The sequence below is a fragment of the Homo sapiens genome, chromosome 3, assembly GCF_000001405.40.
Source record: "Homo sapiens chromosome 3, GRCh38.p14 Primary Assembly".
Classification (NCBI taxonomy): domain Eukaryota; kingdom Metazoa; phylum Chordata; class Mammalia; order Primates; family Hominidae; genus Homo; species Homo sapiens.
Window position 1 is genome coordinate 73,608,293 of NC_000003.12, and position 21,595 is coordinate 73,629,887.

Consider the following 21,595-nt stretch of genomic DNA (forward strand, 5'->3'; position numbering starts at 1 on the left):
CACGCAACTTCATTCAGCCCAACTGCTATACAAACAGAAATGTACCCCCTAACAAAAAAAGAAATGCACCCCCAAAACCAAACAGTTTAAATTAGCTGTTATATTACTAGGCCAATGCTGTTTTAGGAGACTACGCAATAAAAATCCCTAAGTGTGAAGATGTTAGACAGCCAATGAACCCTCTAATGACAGAGAGCAGAATGAAGTGAGCAAAGTTTCCTGCTCCTCACTGTCCCCTTCAAACCTTGACCTCTCTTTCCAGCTACACCAGGAAAAGGAAAAACACATTTTAGTAATTAACATACCACACTCGGCCGGCCACCAATAATATTGAATCCCAGGGAGCCGGAGTCCCGATGCAGGACAAGAGTCAGACTTTTGGTTTCTTCGCCCTGCAGGTAACAAATGAGATCAAACTTTTATTTACCAACAGGGAATAGATGGTAGGAATTTTCCTTCTATCTAAGTGTACTCAAGGACTACTCAGCTAATCATTACAAATCCTGTTATCTCTTGGGAAGTTTAACCAAGGAAACTTCTGGAACCCAATCTGAAATTCTGTCTTGTGTTTAAGGGCTTATAAACATTTCTAGATACCATCTAACCCTGGAATGACCACCTAAGAATGTCTGGAGATGTCCAGACATGCCCAATGAACATTTTCTATGAATGACACCTTGGTCTGCAAATGCATCTTTCTTTTGACCGGCCCATCGTACGCAGGCTGTCTAGACGGCTACTTTCTGTTTGTTTCTCAACCATTCTCAACAGCAGCATTCATGTCATGTCATGAAAGGTTCAAATAGCAATTCTTTCGGAAGTGTGAGTGCATGCATGGCCCATCAATAGCCATCTCTGTTTGGGAGACTTGGGGAAAAATAGTGCATGAAAAGTGAGATGCAAACACACACAGAAAACAAAAAATCCTGAATCTTACTGAAAAGGGGGAGGGGGCATTTTCACAAAGTAATTACTGTCCAATCCACACGAGACGCAGAGCTGTTTAACAGAAAGCACTCTGTTTAAGGCTGGTCAATGTGACCTTTAAATCAAAAAAGTAGAAGTGACCCAGGCAGGTCACAGAGCATAGTGTTCGACAGTCAAAGGCAACAGAGATGCCAGGGAGAGTGTTCTCAACTAACACTCTCAAGTGACAGCAGACAGATAAAAATAGATTTAACCTTATGTGAAAACTGTCACGTAATATTCTTTGACATAAACATTCAACTCGCTGATACACCTTTGACAGTTTTCAATTATATGGATGATATGCAAAACATCACAGCCTGTGTACTGCCTATAAATCGGCATTTGCTTCACTTAACGTTTTCTATTTAAACATGGTAGTATTCAAATGTGGTATTTCTTTTAAATATAAAATATTTAATAAGCTGTTTTAAACATAACACTGACAGCTTATGACAAGAGAGATTTTACTCTGACATTTTTGCTTTCTGTTCAAACTTTTGTCTTCTACCTTTTCTGGGGAAATAAATGGCCACATTGGAAAGGCATGAATGCAACTCTCTGACTCAACCACACTGGCAAAGGAAAGTACTGTTTCTACCTGCAGTGCCCTGTGAGTTTTCTGGAGCACCGCTTCATTTATTGCTATGGCTGTCAATGTGCAACTCTGGTTTCACATTTTGCCAGGAGAACTGTGCCCAGTAGAGCTAAAAAAATATTACGAAAGATCAATGGGCTTCACCATGTAGAATTATCTCCATGCTTAAAGTCTTAATAACCACAACCCCTTTCTCACGAGTAGTTATTATACAACCAAATTAAAGACATTTTCAGAACTTTCTTGTGAGCCTCAACATCAATTAGAAATACACTGTAAAAACAAAAATGACAATTTATTCTGAGAAAAAGATACTCTGTTTCTGATGAAAGAACTAGGTGTCCTATAAGGACAACACAGCATTCATTTCTTAAGAGTCACTTACTCAATATATAAAATACAGAATTATATATAAAAAAGAAGCTAGTCTCTATCAAGTTACTGTACCCAACAAAAAACAGCAGAGCCTCTTTAATGACAGGCTATTGGTTTTTAAAAAATGTTCTGACAAACAGCACCACCATCAAAAGCATCTATCAACACTATCCCTCTTTATAACCAATTTGAACTGTAACAAGTTAATAGGCAATAACTTTCACTGCTCTAAAAGAAAATCCAGAATCAACCTAATAGTTTTGAGATATAAACATGATTTTCAAATTGAAACAGTTTATGTCTTTCTACTTAGGACGCTGAAAATCTCACTAAGTCCATTTCTTACTTTGCTATCTTAAAGGGGTGAAAAGTTAGAAATACATGGGAATTTGGCAAGTTATCTTACATATCTTACATGTCTGGCTTTCATAATTAATCAATGATAGAAACTGCACAGTTACACAGTAATCCAAGGCAGATGGCTTTAGTTTGACAATCTCAAGTGATGCACAAAGAATAATGCACAATCATATGATTTAAAAGATTGGTCTTCAATCTACTGTGTGATAACCACTTATTCAAGAAAAAAAGAAGAAGAAAATAATCTTATTACATTGCATTGACAATGATAACAGCTAACATTTACTGGCTGCAAACTATGTGCCAGAAACTATACTGACAATAAAATGCTTTATTTCATTTTTTAATCCAACCAATCTTAAAAATTGCACTATTACCATCCTCATGATATAGGTGGGAAGACTGAGGTAGAGTGATTAAGAAAGTTGTCCCATGCTAAGGAGCTAGTAAAATGTTGAGCTGGGATTCAGACCCATACTTCCCAATCCTACATCTTCATTACACTTCTATACTACTCTCTTTCTGTGTAGAATATAAAAAATAATTCCACATGGGTTAGCAACATCTTAGGTCCTGTTCAAGATGGTTTTATTGTTGAAATTCCAAAAAAGAACTTATCAAAGGAAGGCTTACCCAGGAGGCCAGTATCAGAACAAAATTCCAAACTGTTTACTGAACTATTTATCTCCAAAGGAACCAATCTGAGATGTGTGAAGACATCTAAGTCCAGCCCTGACCTCAGAGATCTCTCCCAAGGGACAATTAAGACACTGTCTGAAATACAACATTCCTCAACCAAACAGCATCTTGCAAAGAATGTTTCTGAACAACTAAGCTGACCTTCTATGCTTTCTTGCCAGATGCAATGCTGGGGAGAAACAAGGGTGTTCTTATTTTCTATAAGCATCTTGATCTAGTCTACTGTCCACAAGTGTCAGACATTGGCTTTAGGCTGCATTGCCTATTTTAGAGTTGATTTACAGTAGTAAAGCAACATGTAGAAGATTCGACACAGGATGCAGGGAGGGATAAAAGAAAATGTTCAGTCTGGGCTGAATTCCTTTCATTTCTCCAACTAATTACCAAAGGTTAATTGCTATTCTTTGACAACGTGATTCTGGTTTTTCCTTTTCACTCCTTTCTCCACAAACAACCTTAACTACTTTAGTTTAACTTCTAATTTTTCACAAGAAGTATTAATTGAGATTGTAAACAGATAGTCTTCATATAAAACATTTAACATGTTAACATTAACCTCTGCTTACCCATTTAACCTGTTCCTAGGGTCAAAATGCTTCAGGATAGAGGGTACTTAAATAATTATCATTCAGTTACATCCCACCAATTGAAAAGAGGTGTAAATGGGATAAGGGCAAAGGCTCTTATCGAAGCTGCTTTCCCGACTGTTCACAGACATGGTAACTGTGATAGGCAGCAGCATCTTTCATTTACAGGAAAATTTAACCAATATTGGTCTGTTTGGGTAGTTTATCATAACCCATGATTTGCAATGGTCTCAAAACATAGTAAAACAAAGAGAGAAATGAGCCTAACTTCATAGAAACTGATAAGCCAACAAACACACTTGCCTTCCGAAGCAGACATTGTATCAATGCTCTAAACCTGGACAAACTGAGGCTCAGGGAAAATCAGACACTTGCTCATGATCACATAGTGGCAAAGTGGGAAGGTCACGATTGGAACCCAGGTCCACATGTGACTCTGGTGCCTACGATCTTTGTACTGTGCTGGTAAATGTTTGCACCCTGTTCTAAATCCTTCTGCCTCCAAAGACTGAGCCTGGCATGAAGGATCAGACAATTAATTCATCTGGCAATTAGAGTTTTAAGTAAGGCTTCTTTGGACTATGCAATAATAATTGCAAAGATTAAGAATGTCTATTATACCCTGAAAAGTATAATAAGACTATTATGCCATGACAGGAGCAGCATAATGGTTAAGTTCTGGGACCATTATGTCCATTGCATCTGGCAAGGAAGCAGAGAAGGTGAACTTGGTTGTTCAAAAACATTCTTTGCAAGATGCTGTCTGGCTGAGAAATGTGTTTTGGGCATTGTCTTAATTGTCCCTTGAGAGAGATTCTCTGAGTTCAGGGCTGGACTTAAGATGTCTTCAGGAATCTCAGATTGGCGCAACATCAGAGTCAGAACCTGTGATGTTTCCTCATCCACAGAAAGGGAATGATAATGGTTCCTTCTCATGTCACCAGTTCTCATGTCACCAGGTTACTAGGATGCATGACTGAGATAGACAGATACCCAAAGACTGCCTCAGTATGGCATCTGGCCAATAATTAGCACCCAAAACACAAGGCACAGTGTTAAGCTGGACATTCACATAGTTCAACACCGAGGTCATGATGCTCTTTTCCCACATACATTACTCTTCTACAAAATCTAGGCAATGGAGAATGCCTAATCTCACTTTAACTTAGGCTAAAGCAAGTTTGGAAGAGCTGGGGCCTGAAAGCTAAGTAAATAAATATCATTATATATTCCTAACTGTATCTATCTTTCTCCATGACTGGAAAAAGAGTGGCACATTTTAGGGGACCAGTGGAGTGACCACCAGGTAGACAATTTTTATTCTGAAGGTGGTGGGAGGAGCCATGGGAAGGAAGACGAGGGGAGCAGCTCCGCTTGGACTTTCAGTAGAGCACAGATATGACAGGGAGATGATACTGACCAAGTGGGCTGTGGGCCAGGAGAAGGGGAAATCACATACATAACATGGTCACACCTGGAAGGGGATGGCCACAGGAGCAAAGGGGAAGGGAAACAGATTTTGGCTCACAACAGGATAGGAGAAACATCAAGACTAAGAAACGGTGAACTTAGGAACGGTGGAGACAGAAACGAGCTGGGGAGTCTGGGAGTACAGGGTACTTGGGGATTGCTACACACTACAGACTGCTCCAAGTTCTACCATATCAGTGGGTCTCGATGGATTGGTACGAAAAGAAGGTGAAGAACAGAGGAAAAACAACAAATGGAAATGGAGTGGCACCTTCTTGGCAGCTTTCACAGAGTTGCCTTCTATTCAGTAACTCTTCCCAGAGGGCAAGTGTCTCTTCCCTTCAGTAACCCCGACCCTGAAGACTGAGGAGTTCTCAACAGAACCTGGGATGCAGGGTGCAGAAGGGCAGTTCTGGTCATATTCTGGAGCCCAGTGACATCTGTTTCCTTGGGCTTGGCAGGAAGCTCTATCAGATACTTAGGACCCCAGCCCCCACCCAAACCCAATTCAAGAGGTTAGCTGGGCCCCTAATGCAACACAGGATCTCCCTGGGAGAAGCTTAGGTCTTTAGGATTAAGAAAAAGCAGGGACATATTAACCTTGGAGAAGGGGTTGTGGGTATCCAGACCTTAACACTGACATGAACCATCCAAAGTGCCTAAGCCAAGTCACAAGCAGAAATGCAAGCTCACTTTTCAAGAAGATACAGTTGATTTTGTTTAAAAGAAGCTTTGCTATCATATTTGAACATGTAACTATTAGATCAATGTTAAAATTACCCCAAATAATCTTCTCAGCTTTCAACTCAAGGTCTAATTGGATAAGAATTGGTTGGGGGAAGAAAAGTCACAGTGGAAAATCAAAAATTGAATGTAATTTGAATGTCAAAATGACATCTTATGAGGCTGCATTTTTTTAAGCATCCAAGAATGTGAACCATCTATTGGCAAAGTCCCTTTTCTCTTTAGTATTACTCTGTCACCATTCTCCTCCAAACCATCCAGCCTCAAAAGCTTGGACACAAGACATCTCCTAATGAGTGTGGTGGTTCACAGGGTCCATCCACGCCACTGTCAATGTGGACTCTTTTTAAAAACTCCTTTTCTGCCTAAGGACAGGTGTTCCCTAATGATGTCTGTTGTGGGACTCACAGCAGAGAACTGGCTAGACTGGAAAGCTGCCCAGTAGGTTTTGAGAAATGTAACTGACTGACCGCTAGTCTGTGTGATGTAACACCTCGCAGCCTCAGATTATGCAAAGTTCACAAAGACTCACTAGTCTTCACACAGCTGGGAAACAGCTCTGTCTGTTGACTAGTGACATGAAAGCACTGTATATTTGGCTGTTTCCAGGCAAAAATGTGCAGAGATGGGAGTTGAGGGGACCAAGAGGTAGAGCTGGCTGCCAGAAATTCTTTACTGAAGAATTGCTGATGTCTTCACTCCCTATGCTCAGATGCTTTTGTCCTCTTTGTAGTTAAAACTTTAAAATTCTTAATGGTGAAGCAGTTTGGACCAGCCCTGCCTTGTAATTCAACCCAGCTCTAAGGAAGTGATTCTTGCAGAAGAACATAAGAGGAAACTGTTCCAAAGCCTAAGACTGAAGGTAGTCATAAGGACGGTGCTTGAAATTAAGTTGAAATTGGATGAGACACTCAACAAAAGTATTAATAGGATGTTTCTGTCATCAGAAAAAGGTGTAGAGAGAATGAAGGGAGACAAAGGGCATGGGGGAACAGGTAGAAAAAAAAACAAGAGCTTTTCCAGAGTCATAATATCTGCACAATAGTTCACATGGTCCTAAGCCAAACGAGATATTTTTGAAAACTAATATGAGAAGACGTTTCAGTACTTTCCTCGTTTAAAAAAGTCTGCTACTATATTTACACAACCTGAAAAAATCCATAAATGTCTAATTTCTTATTTCCACGAGCTTGATTTCAAATTTTCTCTCTCATTTTTGTCACTGACTCATCTGCTTTTCTGGTGAACAACCACAAGCAATGCTTCACCAAAAATGACACCAACAAACCTTTAAGGTGTTACAGCATCTTAACACTTCCACTTACTTATGGGGTGTGCTACGATCTAAATGTTTATGTGCCCTCAAAATTCATATGTTGAAATCCTAATCCCCAAAGTGATGGTATTAGCAGGTGGGGCCTTTGGGACGTGATTAGGGATTAGTGCCCTTATAAAGGGGCCCAAGAGAGAAACCCTCACCCTTTCTACTATGTGAGCACAACAACAGAAAGACAGCCATCTGTGAACCAGTAAGTGGGTCCTCACCAGACCCTGAATCTGCTAGCACCTTGATCTAGGGGTTCCTAGCCTCCAAAATTACGAGAAATAAATTTCTGTTGTTTATAAGCTATCCAATTTCTGGTATTTTTGTTACAGCAGCCTAAATGCACTAAGACAGAGTGGTTTCTGGTATTTCTGTTACAGCAGCCTAAATGGCCTAAGACAGAGTGGTTTTCAAATGTATACATCCAATTACCAACCAGAAGCATTTTCTTCCCTAAATAAAGAAAAAAGTGCTATAGTTTGGATGACTGTCCCCCCAAATCTCTGTTGATATCTAATTCCAACATTGGAGGTGGGGTCTAATGGGAGGTGTTTGGGTTATGGGGGTGGACACCTCATGAAGAGATTAATGCTGTCCCAGGGTGGTGGTGGGCAGAGAGTGAGCTCTGCTCTATTAGTTCTTGCAAGAGCTGGTTGTTAAAAGAGCCTGGAACTTCTCTCCTCTCTCTCTCCATTGCCTCCTTTCTCTCCATGTAATCTCTGCACATGCAGGCTAGTCTTTGCCTTCTGCCATGATCGGAAGCAGCCTGAGGCCCTCATCAGAAACTGAGCAGACGCCGGTGCCATGTTTCTTGTGCAACCTGCAGGACCATGAGCCAAACAAACCTCTTTCTTTACAAATCACCCAGCCTCAGGTATTTCTTCATGTCAACACAAATAGACTAAGATAGAAAGCAAGGCTACTCATCTAAAAAACCATAAGTGCACTTGCTTACATGAAGGTAGGAGGTTTTTCTGGCCAGTCTCTCCATAGCTTTGTTAATTTGGGTGGGAAAAACATAAACAACTCTGTAACCCATATGTTATTCATAAGCTTTAGCCCTCCACCTTTACATCTTAGCCCAAATGAACTTGAATATCCCTCTTTCACACATTTCCACCACTGCAAAACAGACAGAGGATAGAAATCCAGAGAATGGGTTACTCAGGGGCAGCAGGAGGCTTACAATGAAACCAAATTATTGAGTAACAATCTCTTTTCTTCTAGATAACAACTGCTTTAAATTCCTAAACTTTCTTCAGTGATTTATTTGAAAAAATGTTAAAATCCTACAGGTGTCCAGCACTTAATAGACAGTCAAGAAATGCTTGATAAGACTTACTGTGCCCTTATGTACATCATCTCATTTCATCTTAATAACAACCCTAACAACAGGCATATTATGATCCCATTTTAGAGGTGAGGCAATTAAGGCTTGAAGGTTAGAAGAGCCTCCCAGGGGCCCTCAACAACAGGGCAAAGAGAACACATGAACCCGAATATTGCTGATCCCAGGATATGGATACTAACCACACGCAATACACTAGCTCTATTCAGGGCACCTTGGAGTCAGCCTGTGGACCCAACGCCTGCATCTAACCTTCACCCACGATCTGATGGGACTTCATCCCTCACCTATCCAAACACAGCAAAGACACGGGGCACCTAAAAACAGCTTTTAGCAAAATACTAGGGGTGATCTCCTGCCCAGGACTCTTCTCTGCACACACACTGCTGATGCCAGGGGAAAAGCTCATCACTGCCCTTCCTGGGGATGGGGTGGCTGCAAGGCCTGCAACATACAAAGATTACGCGGTGCCTCTGCTCTTTAAATTCCCTGTAAATATATGGATGGAATGAGTGAGAAAGATGGCTGCTCAGGTCCATCTGGTAGTTATTTTCTTTACAAGAGTAATCATTATGTTATACCACTTCCCTTTCTTATTGTAACAGGCTTATTAGGACACTATTAGTCAAGGGGAGACAGAGGCTAACCCATGGCATAAAAGCTTGGGTGAGCAAAGAATAGTAAGACTTGTGCTTTCAAAGGCATATGTGGGTGTCTGATTGATCCCCTGGGTTAAAGCTGCTCAGTTTTACCTTTCTATCCAATGGTGCCTACCACAGGGCCTGGCACTAGGGGTATGAGAATGTGAGGAGCTAAACTGCAGAATACATTTGGAAGAACTTCACTTCATTCCTACTGTTAACCACTCTTAAAATTACCAGGATAAAAATTAAAGAGCTGTTCTCATATTCCATCCAGGACATCATCTCTTTTTTGTCTAAATCTATTTTTTTTTTTAACAGGGTCTCACTCTGTTGCCCAGGCTGGAGTGCACTGGCACGATCTGGTCTTGGCTCGCAGCAACCTCTGCCTCCAGAGTTCAAGCAATTCTCCTGCCTCAGCCTCCCCAGTAGCTGGGACTACAGGTGTGCACCAGCACACCTGGCTAATTTTTGTATTTTTAGCAGAGACTGGGTTTCACCATGTTGGCCAGACTGATCTCAAACTCCTGACCTCAAGTGATCTTTCCGGCTAGGCCTCCCAAACTGCTGAGATTACAGGCGTGAGCCACCATGCCCAGCCTAAATCTCTTTCACAGCCAGGATCTGTTTTGTTTTGTACTCCATGTGCTCTACACTGGACCTATGTAAATGGGAACATGGTATGGGATGAAAACATTTCATGGACCAGAAGCCAACAGGCAAACTAACATGAGCCAGTGGAGGACACTTGGCAAGTTATTTAACTTTCTGAGCTTCTGTTTTTTCATCTGTAAAATGGAAGGAAAGAGTCATGGGTAAGAGCACCGACCTTGCAGGGTCTTTCTGAGGATGAAATAAAATAATGCATGTACACCTCCAATCCAAACAGTACTTGGCATACATAATAATGGTGCTTTGAAAGCCTGTGTGAGACTTCAGAGAAGGGCACCGCCCCAGGAAAAAATTCTTTTCTTATTTTGGTAACAGTGTGAGCTCGGAGATGGGCCACACTGGGTTCAAATCCCAGCTCTACATTTAGAATCTAACTTCTAGCCTTAATCTTTCATAATCTGCTACTCCCATTAAAAAAAGAGGTCTATCTAATGAAGAACATGGAGAAGATAATGTATGCACATACAGAAAGCACCTTAAGTGTATGGCACCCAGTGGAACTCAATGAATATTATTTTCTTTTCTTTTAAGCTCCTTGGTCTACGGTCCAATGCATAATTGCCTTATAAATAGATTCTTACTCATCAAATATTTTTATAGCGAGGCAAGCACCATTTCTGAACACAGAAAGAGCCACTTACAGACAAATCTCAACAGAATTGCCAATTCAAATTGTCTGGTTATACTCATTTAATCCAGTGTAGCTGGGTAACATATTTGTAAAACAAATCCTAATTTTCCTTATAAATCACAGAAATGAAATAGAAGTGACAATCTGTAACTTTTTTTTAGCAGAAGTGCGCTGTTTTGTTAGATATACTATGGAATGGCCCTGTGCAGGAGCTTTTCAGAAACAAAATATACTTCATGGTGAATACTCTAACAGATACATTTCAAAGTGTTTGGACATCTGGAACACCTTTTGATACAATTGTCTATCAGATTTACTTATTTCCAGTTCTGAAAAGGACAAAATAGTTTCTAGGATTTGGGGCTTTATAAAACTTGATCTGGGTGGATCTAGTGGAACAAAAATAATGCCTCCCCTAAACCTGAAAACAATTTTGTTAACTGGGTCATCACGGAGAAACTCATTCTTTTTAAACACGAGCCCACTTTTGGTTAGCAACCTGAAAAGTTTTGATGACTGCCAAGACAGGCCTTTCAATCTTGAACTCATCACCAAATGAATACATATCAAGAGCTTACAGTGCACATGGCAATGGATTAGTGCCACAGACATGGTACTGGACAAGACAGACTCTTCCACTTATTTAGTTACAGCTATGATAAATGCCATGCAGGAGGATAACCAAAGTAAGAGTCTCAGGGCACCAGATGTAGTCTGCGAGGTCCGAGAGGCCTGGCTTCCTAGAGGTAGTGATGCTTCAGCTGAGATGAGAATAGAAAGAACCATTGTCTAGTGATAAGCAAATCCTAAGTGCAGACAGAAAGGCTGTGGGCAAGAGGAGAGAAGTGGAAATTTTGCAGGTTATTTAGTGCAGAGTACTTGGTAAGATTGTTCCAGGTAGACAGAAGAGCAAGTGCAAAGGCCTGGAGGCAGAGAGGAGCTCAGGGGCACATGCATCGACTCTCAGAGACATGAGAAGCTGAAAGAAGAGGATGAAGGGGAGAAGAATCCAGGCAGGTGGAAGCCGGTAGGATCCAGAGCATGTTGGACCTTATAGCCAACCAAGAGAAATGGGACAGCATAGGAGGCTTGAGGGAGAGTGATAAAAGATACACATTTATAAGAGATTAATTCCTGATGCTAGGTAAAGAAGGAATTGAAGAGGAGCAAGAAGATTTGTAGAGGAAAGAGTTATGGTCCAGGCAAGAGTGTCTGAGACAAAGGCCAATTTTGCCCCTCAAGGGACGTTTGGCAATGTCCACAAATACTGTTGATACTACTTGGAAAGCGCTACTAGCCTCTAGTAGGTAGGTAGGTAGATGCCCGGGATGTTGCTAAACATCCTACAATGCACAGGTCAGCCTCCCACCCCCATCACCACTACCACCACCACCAACAACACACCCACACCCAAGAATTATCCATTCCAAAATGTTGGCAGTGCTGATTCAGAAACTCTGGTTTGGACCACGGTGGTCATTTGAGTGAGCTGGAGAGCTGTGAATAGATTCAAAATGTATTTAGGAGGTAAAATCCGCAGGATTCAAAGACAGACCGGATGGGAGGTTAAAGAACAAAAGGTATCGAGGATGTATCTCAAGTTTTTCAATCAATCCAAGGAAAGTTATGTCCAGAATTGTTCCTTTCCCAGAAAGAAAAGCAAAAAAGATGTTTGCTCTGGAGTGCTTTTGCTCTAAGAATCAGGGGGTAAGTCAGGATGGGAAACTGAGGCTGGGAGCAGAACTCTTTAACTCACTCAAGTGTAGCAATCCCAAGTCTGCTGCAGCTCAGATGTGGCCTCAGTGAGATCAGAGATGCCTGTCTAGGCTATGATTACCTGTCATTTAACTGCTAGGCAGTCTGGGTTTTTTTTGTTTTTTTTTTTTTGAGACGGAGTCTTGCTCTTTCACCCAGGCCGGAGTGCAGTGGCACTATCTCCGCTTACTGCAAGCTCCGCTTCCCAGGTTCACGCCATTCTCCTGCCTCAGCCTCCCGAGTAGCTGGGACTACAGGTGCCCGCCACCGCGCCCAGCTAATTTTTTGTATTTTTAGTAGAGACGGGGTTTCACCGTGTTAGCCAGGATGGTCTCGATCTCCTGATCTCGTGATCCGCCTGCCTCGGCCTCCCAAAGTGCTGGGATTACAGGCGTGAGCCACTGAGCCCGGCCTAGGCAGTCTGGGTTTTAAAATTTTATCCTGGTCTTAAGAAATTTAGGAAGGTGTTTAGACAATGACCAGTGAAACCATAACTGTGTGAAGACCAATACATGTTTGGTCTATATCTACCTGAGCGTAAGCTCTTCGTCTAGCTTAGCGGCTACTTAAAGGACCAGCATCATCTGGGAGCTCATTGGAAATGCAGAATATCAGGCCCCTGGCCAGCCCTAATGGATCAGAATCTCTAGGGGTGAGACTGAGGAATCTGTGTTAAGCTCTCCAGTGACTCCAATCACGCTAAGGCTTGAGAATCCTTAATATAGCTCACATGGTAGAACAGAAGAGACAACGTCTATGCTGGTACAGCACTAACAAACCCTAAGCGTTCAGCAGGTGTCAAAAAAACTGAAACCTAAGATAATTTAAAGAATGCCACATCATTTGTGCAAGTTCTAGGCTGCTGAAGAGCTGGTACTGAAAATCTGAGTGTTTCTAATCTCCTTCAGCTTATAACAGAGAAGCAAACATTAGGGCTTATTTTAAAAAGAAAATAAAAATGTTGCACATGAGAGTTTCCAGGACATATAAATCCTTCTGCCTTTTAGAAGAGAATAAACAGTACCCAGCAGGAGCAGAGAGCCGGCCCAATGAAATAAACAAGTTCTTAAACAGCTTCCAATGGGAGGAGTTTTATGGTTGACCCAGGAACAGCAAAAGCGTTCAGTAAGGGCCACTGAGGGTTAATTTCGGGGCAAGGAGAGACAGCAAGCTTCCCTAAGGCCTCAGCTGAGGCCAGGCTGGGTCTGAGGCCAGGGAAACTATCTAGGGCAGCTTCTGGGCCAGACCATCCTTTGCTGTTCTCAAGGCTGGCACTGAGGTTGGTAAAAGTTCCAAGCAGGGCTCCAACACCGGAACAAACCTTTCTCCGTAAGTTCAAAATCAACATCTTGTCTCTAAGCTTAACATCCTTCTTTATGCTACCCACTAACTCAACAGAGCCTCAAAAACATCCACAGTTTTGATTCAAGTATCATATTTTTGACTCTGAGGGAGATTTTACCCAAACACTCCAGAAAGAAAACAGAAAGTTAAGAAGAAATAATAAACTAGCTCAACAATAAATGATGCATAAACTCTGGGGCAGTGAATGGCTTATTTATAAATAAGCGTCACTTAAAACGACGAAGGAAGTCCAGATGACAGCATAAACAGCAGAAACTCGGGAACTCCTTCACCCTAAATCTGGCGCCTGATTGAAGACCAAGCTTTGCCCTCTGTTTTGGTGATTCGAAGGCTCACACCAGTCTTTTGTGTGCCTGTGAGGTCCTGGGCAAGCTGTGGAGCTGTAAATATTTGCCCTTCGCCCAGAGCTGGCCAGCTGCTGAGACTGCAGCTGACAGACAGGCCAGGGGCCAGGAAGGGGGGCCAGGTCGGAAAACTTGCAGGCCTGGTGTGCACGTAAGGAAAGGGGGCTGGGAGAGGGCAGAGAGAGGCAAAGCAGACACAGGCCCTTGGGGGAGCCTCGGGCAAATATTTTCCCCTTTCTGCCACACCATCTGGAGCAGGCAACCAGAGCGGTGGCAGCAGGCCCAGGCCCCTCCCCAGGAAGGCAGAAGTACCCAGCTGTTGAAAATGTGGCTTCTGCAATCAGGGAAACCAGTGGTTCTCAACCTGGGCGACTTTGCCCCTCCAGAGGACACTTGACAATATTTGGATTGTCACGACTTGGGAGGGAGGCCAAGAATGCTGCTAAACATCCTACAATGCACAGCACAGTACCTCCCCTCCCAACTAAGAGTTATGGGGCCCAAAATGCCAATATGCCCCAAAACTGAGAACTCTGAGGTAGAATCTGAGTCCGGCTCTGCTCCCTGAGTCACTACTTAATTTTGGACAAGTTATATAACTTCTCTGAGTCTGTTCCCTCATCTCAAAGGACAACATAGGTAATGCATGTAAAGTACTTCCTATTGTTGGTGGCACTTAATAAACACTCAATAAATGGTCCTTGTGGTTGCACTGAGGAGCAACATGATAGTTTATAGAACGTGGGCTGGAAAGATGGGCACGCAAAGGTTCAACATGCAGCTTTGCACCCAAAAGCTGTGACCCAGGCATGAAACTGCCCCTTAATGAGCCTCAGTTTTTTCATCTACTAAGTGGGAAGGGTCACACCAACCTCACTTGATTAAAAAGGAAATGACTGGGAAGAATGCAGCACCCAGCCTGGAGCAAAGTAAACCCTCGCTCAAGGGGACCGCTCAGGTGGAGATGTTAAAAATAATTCTAGGTAACACTTGTTGAGCATTTATTTACTCTCTGCCAGGCACAGTACGAGGCCCTTCTACTAAACTCTCTCCCTGAAGCCTGACAAAAACCTTTCGCACTGAGGGAAACTGAGGGATCTGGGAATTAAGCCAGAAGCTCACCCAGCTGGTCAGCAAAAAGCCCAGATTTGAAAACAGTTTTAACTCCAGAGGACTCACACTTAATTATTACTTTATACTTGTTGGGGGCAGAGTGCTCCTTTAATTCTTTCTGAAATCCCTGGATGAATACCTCAGGGGTGCCTGGCTGTGTTTTTACTCTGTATACCACGTCTCTAGGGACCATAGTTTCCAACTTTAGAGAGGTTAAGCAGCTTGCTCAAGGTCAGCCAGCTAGTTGGCTGCAAAGCCCACGCTTGCATCCAGCTTTTACCCCAGAGGCCTCTCTTCTGATATCCTTCTTAACTTAATCTACACTGGCTGTGGGTTCCCTTTATTTTTTTTTCTGGAATCCTAGAGGATGCACGGATACAATTCACCCAATGTGTCCATCTCTCCTCTCCTAAGTGTCAGTCTATAGGTTTCTGACCTCTAGAGGGTAAGCAACTTGCCCGAGATCCCCTAGCTGGTCTGAGCAGCAAAGCCTTTGAACGCAGTTTTGACTCTGGAGCTGCATTCTTCATTCTTATCCTACACTTGCTTGTGAATTCTTTTTCGTCCTTCCAGAATCCCTGAAGCTGTACAGCTATACTTTACCGGTTACGTCTAGACTATAAAGGACCACAGTGTTCCACCTCAGGCAGGTTCAGCGACCTGCAAGTAGTGATACAGCTGGTAAGCAGTGGAAGAAGAGGGAGGAAGCAAGGATGTTCCCGGGAAGCTCGGGGCATCCCTGTACCCAAAGGGATGGGGCGGGGCCCTGGGTCCCCAGGGATCCTGGCTGGAGGTCGGGGCGGGCAGCAGGCGCCTACCTTGCCGCCGGGCGGCGCGGCCACGCAGCGGCTGAGCGAGTCGAGGCGCGCGCTGTATTCGGTGAATTTCTTCTGGTAGCGCAGCGCGGTCATCTGCAGCTCAAGCTGCGCCGCGGCCAGCTGGGCCACCAGCGACTTCTCGCGCTTCCCAGCGCGCAGCGCCTCCTTCTTGAGCGCCTTGTGCAGCGCGCCCAGGCGGGCCTGGAGCGCGCCGTTGTGCGCCCGCAGCGCTCGCGCGCAGCAGTGGCCGCCCGCGCGCTGCTCGCCGTGCGTCAAGGGTAGCCCGCAGCCCTCCTGGCAGCGGCCCACTGGCCGCGCGTCGCAGGCGTCGCGCATGTGCGCCTCCACGTCGCGCCGCAGCAGCACCTGGCCGCAACCCGCGTGGCGACAGCGCGCGGGCGCGAAGTCGCAGCGCTCGAGGTGCTCCGGCAGCTGCTGCAGCTTGACCACCCGGCCGCAGCCGCGCGTCGCGTACGCGCACTTGATGTCCAGCTTGAGGATAAGGCGCTTGAGCGGCAGGACGTGGTTGAGCTCTTTGGCCGACAGGCGACCGCGGCAGCGCGCCGGGCAGCTGCCCTCCTGCACCACCCAGGGCAGCACGCAGCCGGCGCAGAAGACGTGGCCGCACGGCGTGGTCAGCGGGTCCTCCAGGACCTTGTGGCACAGCGCGCACTTCAGGTCCGGGTCCACGTCGCCGTCGAAGCGGTCCAGCTCGAAGCCCATGGTGGCGGCCAGGCCCCGGGGTCGCCGCCGGGCGGCCGGGCGCCCCCTCCCTCCCCACGAGGCGGCCCAGACAGGCCGGCTACGCCGCCCGCGCGCTCGCTGGCTCTCCCCGGACTGAGCCTAATTGATCCAGACTTCCTCGGAAAATGCCCGAGGAACAGGACTCCTCCGGCCGTATTTGCGCGAGCGCGAGCGCACATACATCGTGCCTTGGATGCCTCCCGCCAGCCCCCCGAAAAAGGGAGGAGGCTGGAAGGCAGAAGCGCGTGGGAGGACACTGAGGCTCGCCAGAAGGGACGGGCCAGCCCAGGACGCCAGCCTGAATCTTCTCGGGAAACTCCTTTCTGTTCTCTTACAGTCTACGCTATAGGAGACAAAACGCCAGCCGAGAAAAGCTCGCTGAGTTTGGAGCTGAGGCTACTGCTTTCTCCCAAGGGTTCTCTTCGAGCCCCTTCCCGAACGGATCAAAACTTTTTTACTCCCTTCTCCCTCCCCCTTCCTCTAGTGGCTGATTGCAGAGGACTAAAAATATCTTGGGGCCCGCTATCTCAGCACTTACGGTCTTTATTTATTTATTTCATTCCAGGGAAAGTTACAGAGCCTGCGGGAAGCTCCGGCTGCAACTTCAGTTCTGACCAGAGGTTCTGTGAACCTTCAGGATTTAGCAGGTTTCCAGGACCGGTGGGTGAATCTACCCGGGGAAGTTTTGGTGGACAAGAGCTGCTCGCCAGCTGTCGGAGTGGGAGAGGCCAGCGTGCTGGCTCCATCCACTTCACCTAACACCTCTGAAGTGTCTGCCCTGCAGTGTGGCAAGCGTGGTGCTGAGCGCTTCTAAATCCGTCGCTTTAAAGATCATTAGTACAATGTTGTGAGAGGGTTAGCTCCATTTGAAAATTATTTTCCCGTGATTACAAAAGAAGCGATGCTGACTGCAGAAGTTAGAACTGGGAGAAGACTCATCACCCCCATGATCATGTCAACAACTGCCCTCCTTCAGTTTTGGTTTGTTTTGTGTGTACACTCTGTCATCTTTCCATTGAGGAAACTCAGGCTAGAAGAAGGATAAAAACAAAACAGAAAACAAAACAAAACAAAAGTGCCCTGTAGGGTCCTGTAGGTCAGTGTTTCTCACATTTTAATGTGGTTGCGGTTCTGATACAGTGGGTCTGGGGCGGGTTCTGAGAATCTCCATACTGAAAGCACTTCCAAGTGATGCCAATGCTGCTAGTCCATGCTGGTCCTTGGATTCCCACTTGATTGGAAAACCCTGGCGATCCATAGATCTGGACATTCATTCCCTGCAGTACAGCAAACCTGGCTGGGTAGGATTCAGCAACAGTCCTGAGCAATGGAGGAATATTTTTGGAATTCCAAACTGGGTGTAAAGTTCATAGCATCATCCATTGATTTTATTTTATTTTATTTTTACCTCCCAAGGCTATAGACATTCCTAAGAAACACGCAGTCAGCTTTTGGTGAGAGTGGAATCAAGCTATGGAATTCTCATTTGGAATCTGCTTCCAGTTTCTGAACAGTGAAGCGGGAGAGTTCTGAACAGTAAAGCAGGAGCTCTGTATTCAGCGAGACTCTGGGGCCTGGAAAGTGGGATTACAGCATCCATTTTGTCTAATTGCTTTCCTTCTTTCTTTTATGTGGCTGCTAAAGCCCCATGACCTTCACTATTTAACTGCTTCATCAGAGTGAAAGAATTGCCTTGATGTTCATAAGGATTACTTGTTTCACACTGACCTTTAAAAAGTTGTCACTCACTAGATTTTTCAGTGCATGGTTGAGGTCACTGGACAGTGTTCTTTAATCAGTTTTGGTGGCATTTGTTGCCTATTTGAGGTGGAGACTTTCTTTTAATTGCTTTAATCAATTAATGCATTGCTTTGATAGGATTCTGCATGGGGTGGAATATTATTGGCCTTTGTTCAGATAAGCTTGTGCCAGGGAATCCTCCATCAGTATATTCATTAAACTGCTCATGGGCTCTCAGATAATGGGTAGGAAACAAATTCTTTCACCAAAGGTGTGTGGGCTTGTCAGTTTCACAGAATGAGCTAGTGTCAACAGGGTGATAATCTTCAAACCAAACTGGTTTTGAGAAACAGAGAAGTTCTGTCCTACACCATAAATGTAAATTAGTGCTTACTTGGGGTGTACACTTTTTTGGAGATGTTCTACCACCCCTCGGGTGGTCTCCCAGATGGCAGATTGAGAGGTTGTTGCTGAAATGCTACAGCTGAGGCCACAGAGAAGCCATAGCCTACTGTGGATTGGCCTCTTTAGGCAAAAGGAAAGTCTGTGCCACTCCTCAATGGTTAATTTTAGTATCAAAATTCTTGGAGGTTAGAAAAAAAATCCTACAATGTCAGAGCTGGCAAGACTATTATTTCAGTCACCAAACTTAACAGGAGAAACGAGAGCCAAAAATATTAGGAAAAAGGAGTTGAGGGCAGAGTTACTCAACCTTGGTACTACTGACATTTTCATTCAAATAATTATTTGTTGTGGTGTGTGTGGGGGTGGGGGGTTGGTTATCGTCTGCATTGCAGGATATTTAGGAGCATCTCTGGCCACTATCCAATAGACATAGTAACAACCCCTTGTTGTGACAACCAGGTTGAGAACCACAGTTTTAAGGAAGCTTTCTGCTCATTACTGAAGTCAGGCAATGCTGTCAGCCCACATTTTCTGCTGGCTGTGGAACCACCTGGTGAATGCTGCACAGTGAGAGAGGGATGTTATTATAAATCGAAAACTCAAGGCACCATACCAATAAACATGAATAAAAACTGTAGGAAGATGAATGTTTGGTGTGGCAGGCCTCCTGAGAAAAGTAGCTGATTTTTCTGACATGGATTAGATACTTACTCAACCGTCCCAGAAACATCTGAGTGTTTATATATGGATGAATTCCTTGTGGACAGCTGGATTGGTCACTTTGCAAATTATTTTTGCGACTTCCACTACCTCTTGCTCTTACCCCTTCCTTTTATCATCTGATTCTGCACTTTCTAACCAAAATGTGGCCCCAAGCCTAATAAAAATACTATTTCTATATTCACCACGATCCCATTCTGATTTTAAACTCTGTTTTTAGTGTTCTTTCCATCAGCATGTTTAATCAGAAGTTGATAATAATATCTACCACTTTTTTGGGAACTGTTACTAGGTATCAGGCACTGTGCTCAGCACTTGACCTTCATTGTCTCATTAATCCTCACTGCACATAGAGAGGTAGATATGTTGTCCACCCTGTTTTACAGATGGAGAGACTGAGGTTTATAGAGGTTACATAAGATATCTAAGTAGGCGTAGGTACCTTATAAGGTTACATAAGGTATGCCTCCAGTCAGGGATGTCAACAGGAGAATTTCAGAACCCTCACTCTTAATCACCATAAGCATTATGCGTCTCCTCCATAAGCTCCAGCTCAGGAGGCACTCCCTTACAAATGATATGGATAAGAACTCCACCCCTCCATGTTTGCTGGTTATCAATCCTCAGCTGCTCGTAGGGTCTGGATAATTTGTGGCTTCAGTACTAGAAAAAACAAACAAAAAGAAAGTCAAGGGTTTTTACATTTGTTTTTTAAATTTTCTTCCCCAGGCGTACATATTTGTATTCTACTAGCTAAAATAGCACTATACAATTAGATAAGGATCTGCTTTTACCAAATGAAAGTACCACCAGAGCGTAATAAGGTACAGCAGTCATCCACAAAAACAAGTGTGAAACATTTCGGTCAGACTGCTTGCCTGTTAACATAGCCAATGTTAGCCATCCTGGAGCCTGACACATTCGTTTGGCCATGGGTTGAAAGGTAGGGAGAAGAGAAGGTAGTTCTCTATTCTGGAGACTTTTGAAGACTTTGGTAAGTCAGGATGAGTTATCACAGTAGGGACACTAGGCAGAAGAACAAGAATTGCGAAAATACTTCTTACAAATTTGAGCAAATTCTGGTCTGCAAAAGTCTGGCTCTCCTTTCCCAACTCTCCAGATGGGATTAGTTTCCACAGCCCCAAGCACATACCCTTGTATAACAATGATCACACTTGAAATGTCTTAATTTATCTAATAATTATTTAGTAGCTATTATATGCAAAGAAGAGGCTGTTCTTGCACTGGGGCTACAAAGGCTACCAAAAATAATAAGCAGTGTCCCTCCCCTCTTAAGCCTTCATTTCACGATAAGGAACAGCAGATATCAATAAATGAATAATAAATGAGATGATTATGGAATATGATAAGTTCCCTAATACAGTGCTGCTCAAAGTGTGGTCTGGGGACCAGAAACATGGGCATAACCTGGAAGCATGTTGAAAGTGCAGAATCTCAGGCCGCACCTTGGACCTACTGAATCAGAATCTGCCTTTTAGCAAGATCACCAAGTGATTTGTGTGCACTTAAAGTTTGAGAATCACTGCTGTCAACACCATAAAAGCAGCTTACATGCTGGAGAAAAATCAAAGGGGCCCATTTGAAATAGGGCTGTCTGGGGAGGGGAAGTGTGAGTTGTCGCTTGAAGGGTGAGACTGAGCCAGCAATAGCTGGGAGAAGAACAATCCAGGCAGAACAAGAGAAAGTGCTGAGGTTCGAAGCAAGCACATGGTCTATTTGAATTAGACAGAGTGTGCCTAGAACTTGGAGCAGAGTAAGCCGAGCGAAGAAGAATCAAACAAGGGTAAAAAGTAGGCGAGAACCAAATGGACACGGGCCTGCAGGACCTGTGGAGGAAAGAGATTGAATTGATTCTAGTGCTGATTGGCACTGAAGTATTTTGGGCAGCAGAGGAGCACAGCTTGATCAATGTCTAGTGTCCATGCCACATATTACACTCTATTATAGAGTAGGGCAATCGTGTTCACGTTCTGTCCCCCATGTTTAACACTTAGTAGAAACGTAATAAATATTGAACAAATAACTGTTCCCTCTTCCTGCTCCATGTAAGTTCCTGCTGCTCAGCTCTTAAGCGTGGGTTGGTACTACCAGCATGAGGTATATGTATCACAGTATGAGTTAAATAGGCCTCTGTGTCCTAGTTGGAGTACCTATC

General features: G+C 44.1%; 1 protein-coding gene and 1 long non-coding RNA gene across 3 annotated transcripts in view, besides 1 other annotated feature; one reads left to right on the forward strand and one right to left on the reverse strand.

Moving 5' to 3' along the window:
• Window positions 1–16,649, reverse strand: part of PDZRN3 (PDZ domain containing ring finger 3) — a 242,511-nt gene extending 225,862 nt beyond the window's left edge. The window contains exons 1-2 of one of the 2 annotated variants that reach the window (NM_015009.3): window positions 15,811–16,649; window positions 306–392 (exon numbers count right to left, since the gene is read on the reverse strand). In NM_015009.3, coding sequence (NP_055824.1) covers window positions 306–392; window positions 15,811–16,533 — 810 coding nt within the window. In that variant the 5' untranslated portion in view covers window positions 16,534–16,649. The remainder of the gene's footprint in view (window positions 1–305; window positions 393–15,810) is intronic. The other variant, XM_017005942.3, reaches the window with a different exon arrangement.
• Window positions 14,068–14,582: an enhancer, noted in NCBI's record as "H3K4me1 hESC enhancer chr3:73671511-73672025 (GRCh37/hg19 assembly coordinates)". NCBI's record gives its function as "activates a minimal SCP1, AML or CMV promoter by ChIP-STARR-seq in naive H9 embryonic stem cells {active_cell/tissue: H9 hESC(naive)}" and the evidence as "EXISTENCE:reporter gene assay evidence [ECO:0000049][PMID:30033119]".
• Window positions 15,276–19,607, forward strand: PDZRN3-AS1 (PDZRN3 antisense RNA 1). The gene is made up of 2 exons (NR_046681.1): window positions 15,276–15,673; window positions 17,120–19,607. It is a non-coding gene; the product is annotated as a PDZRN3 antisense RNA 1 (long non-coding RNA).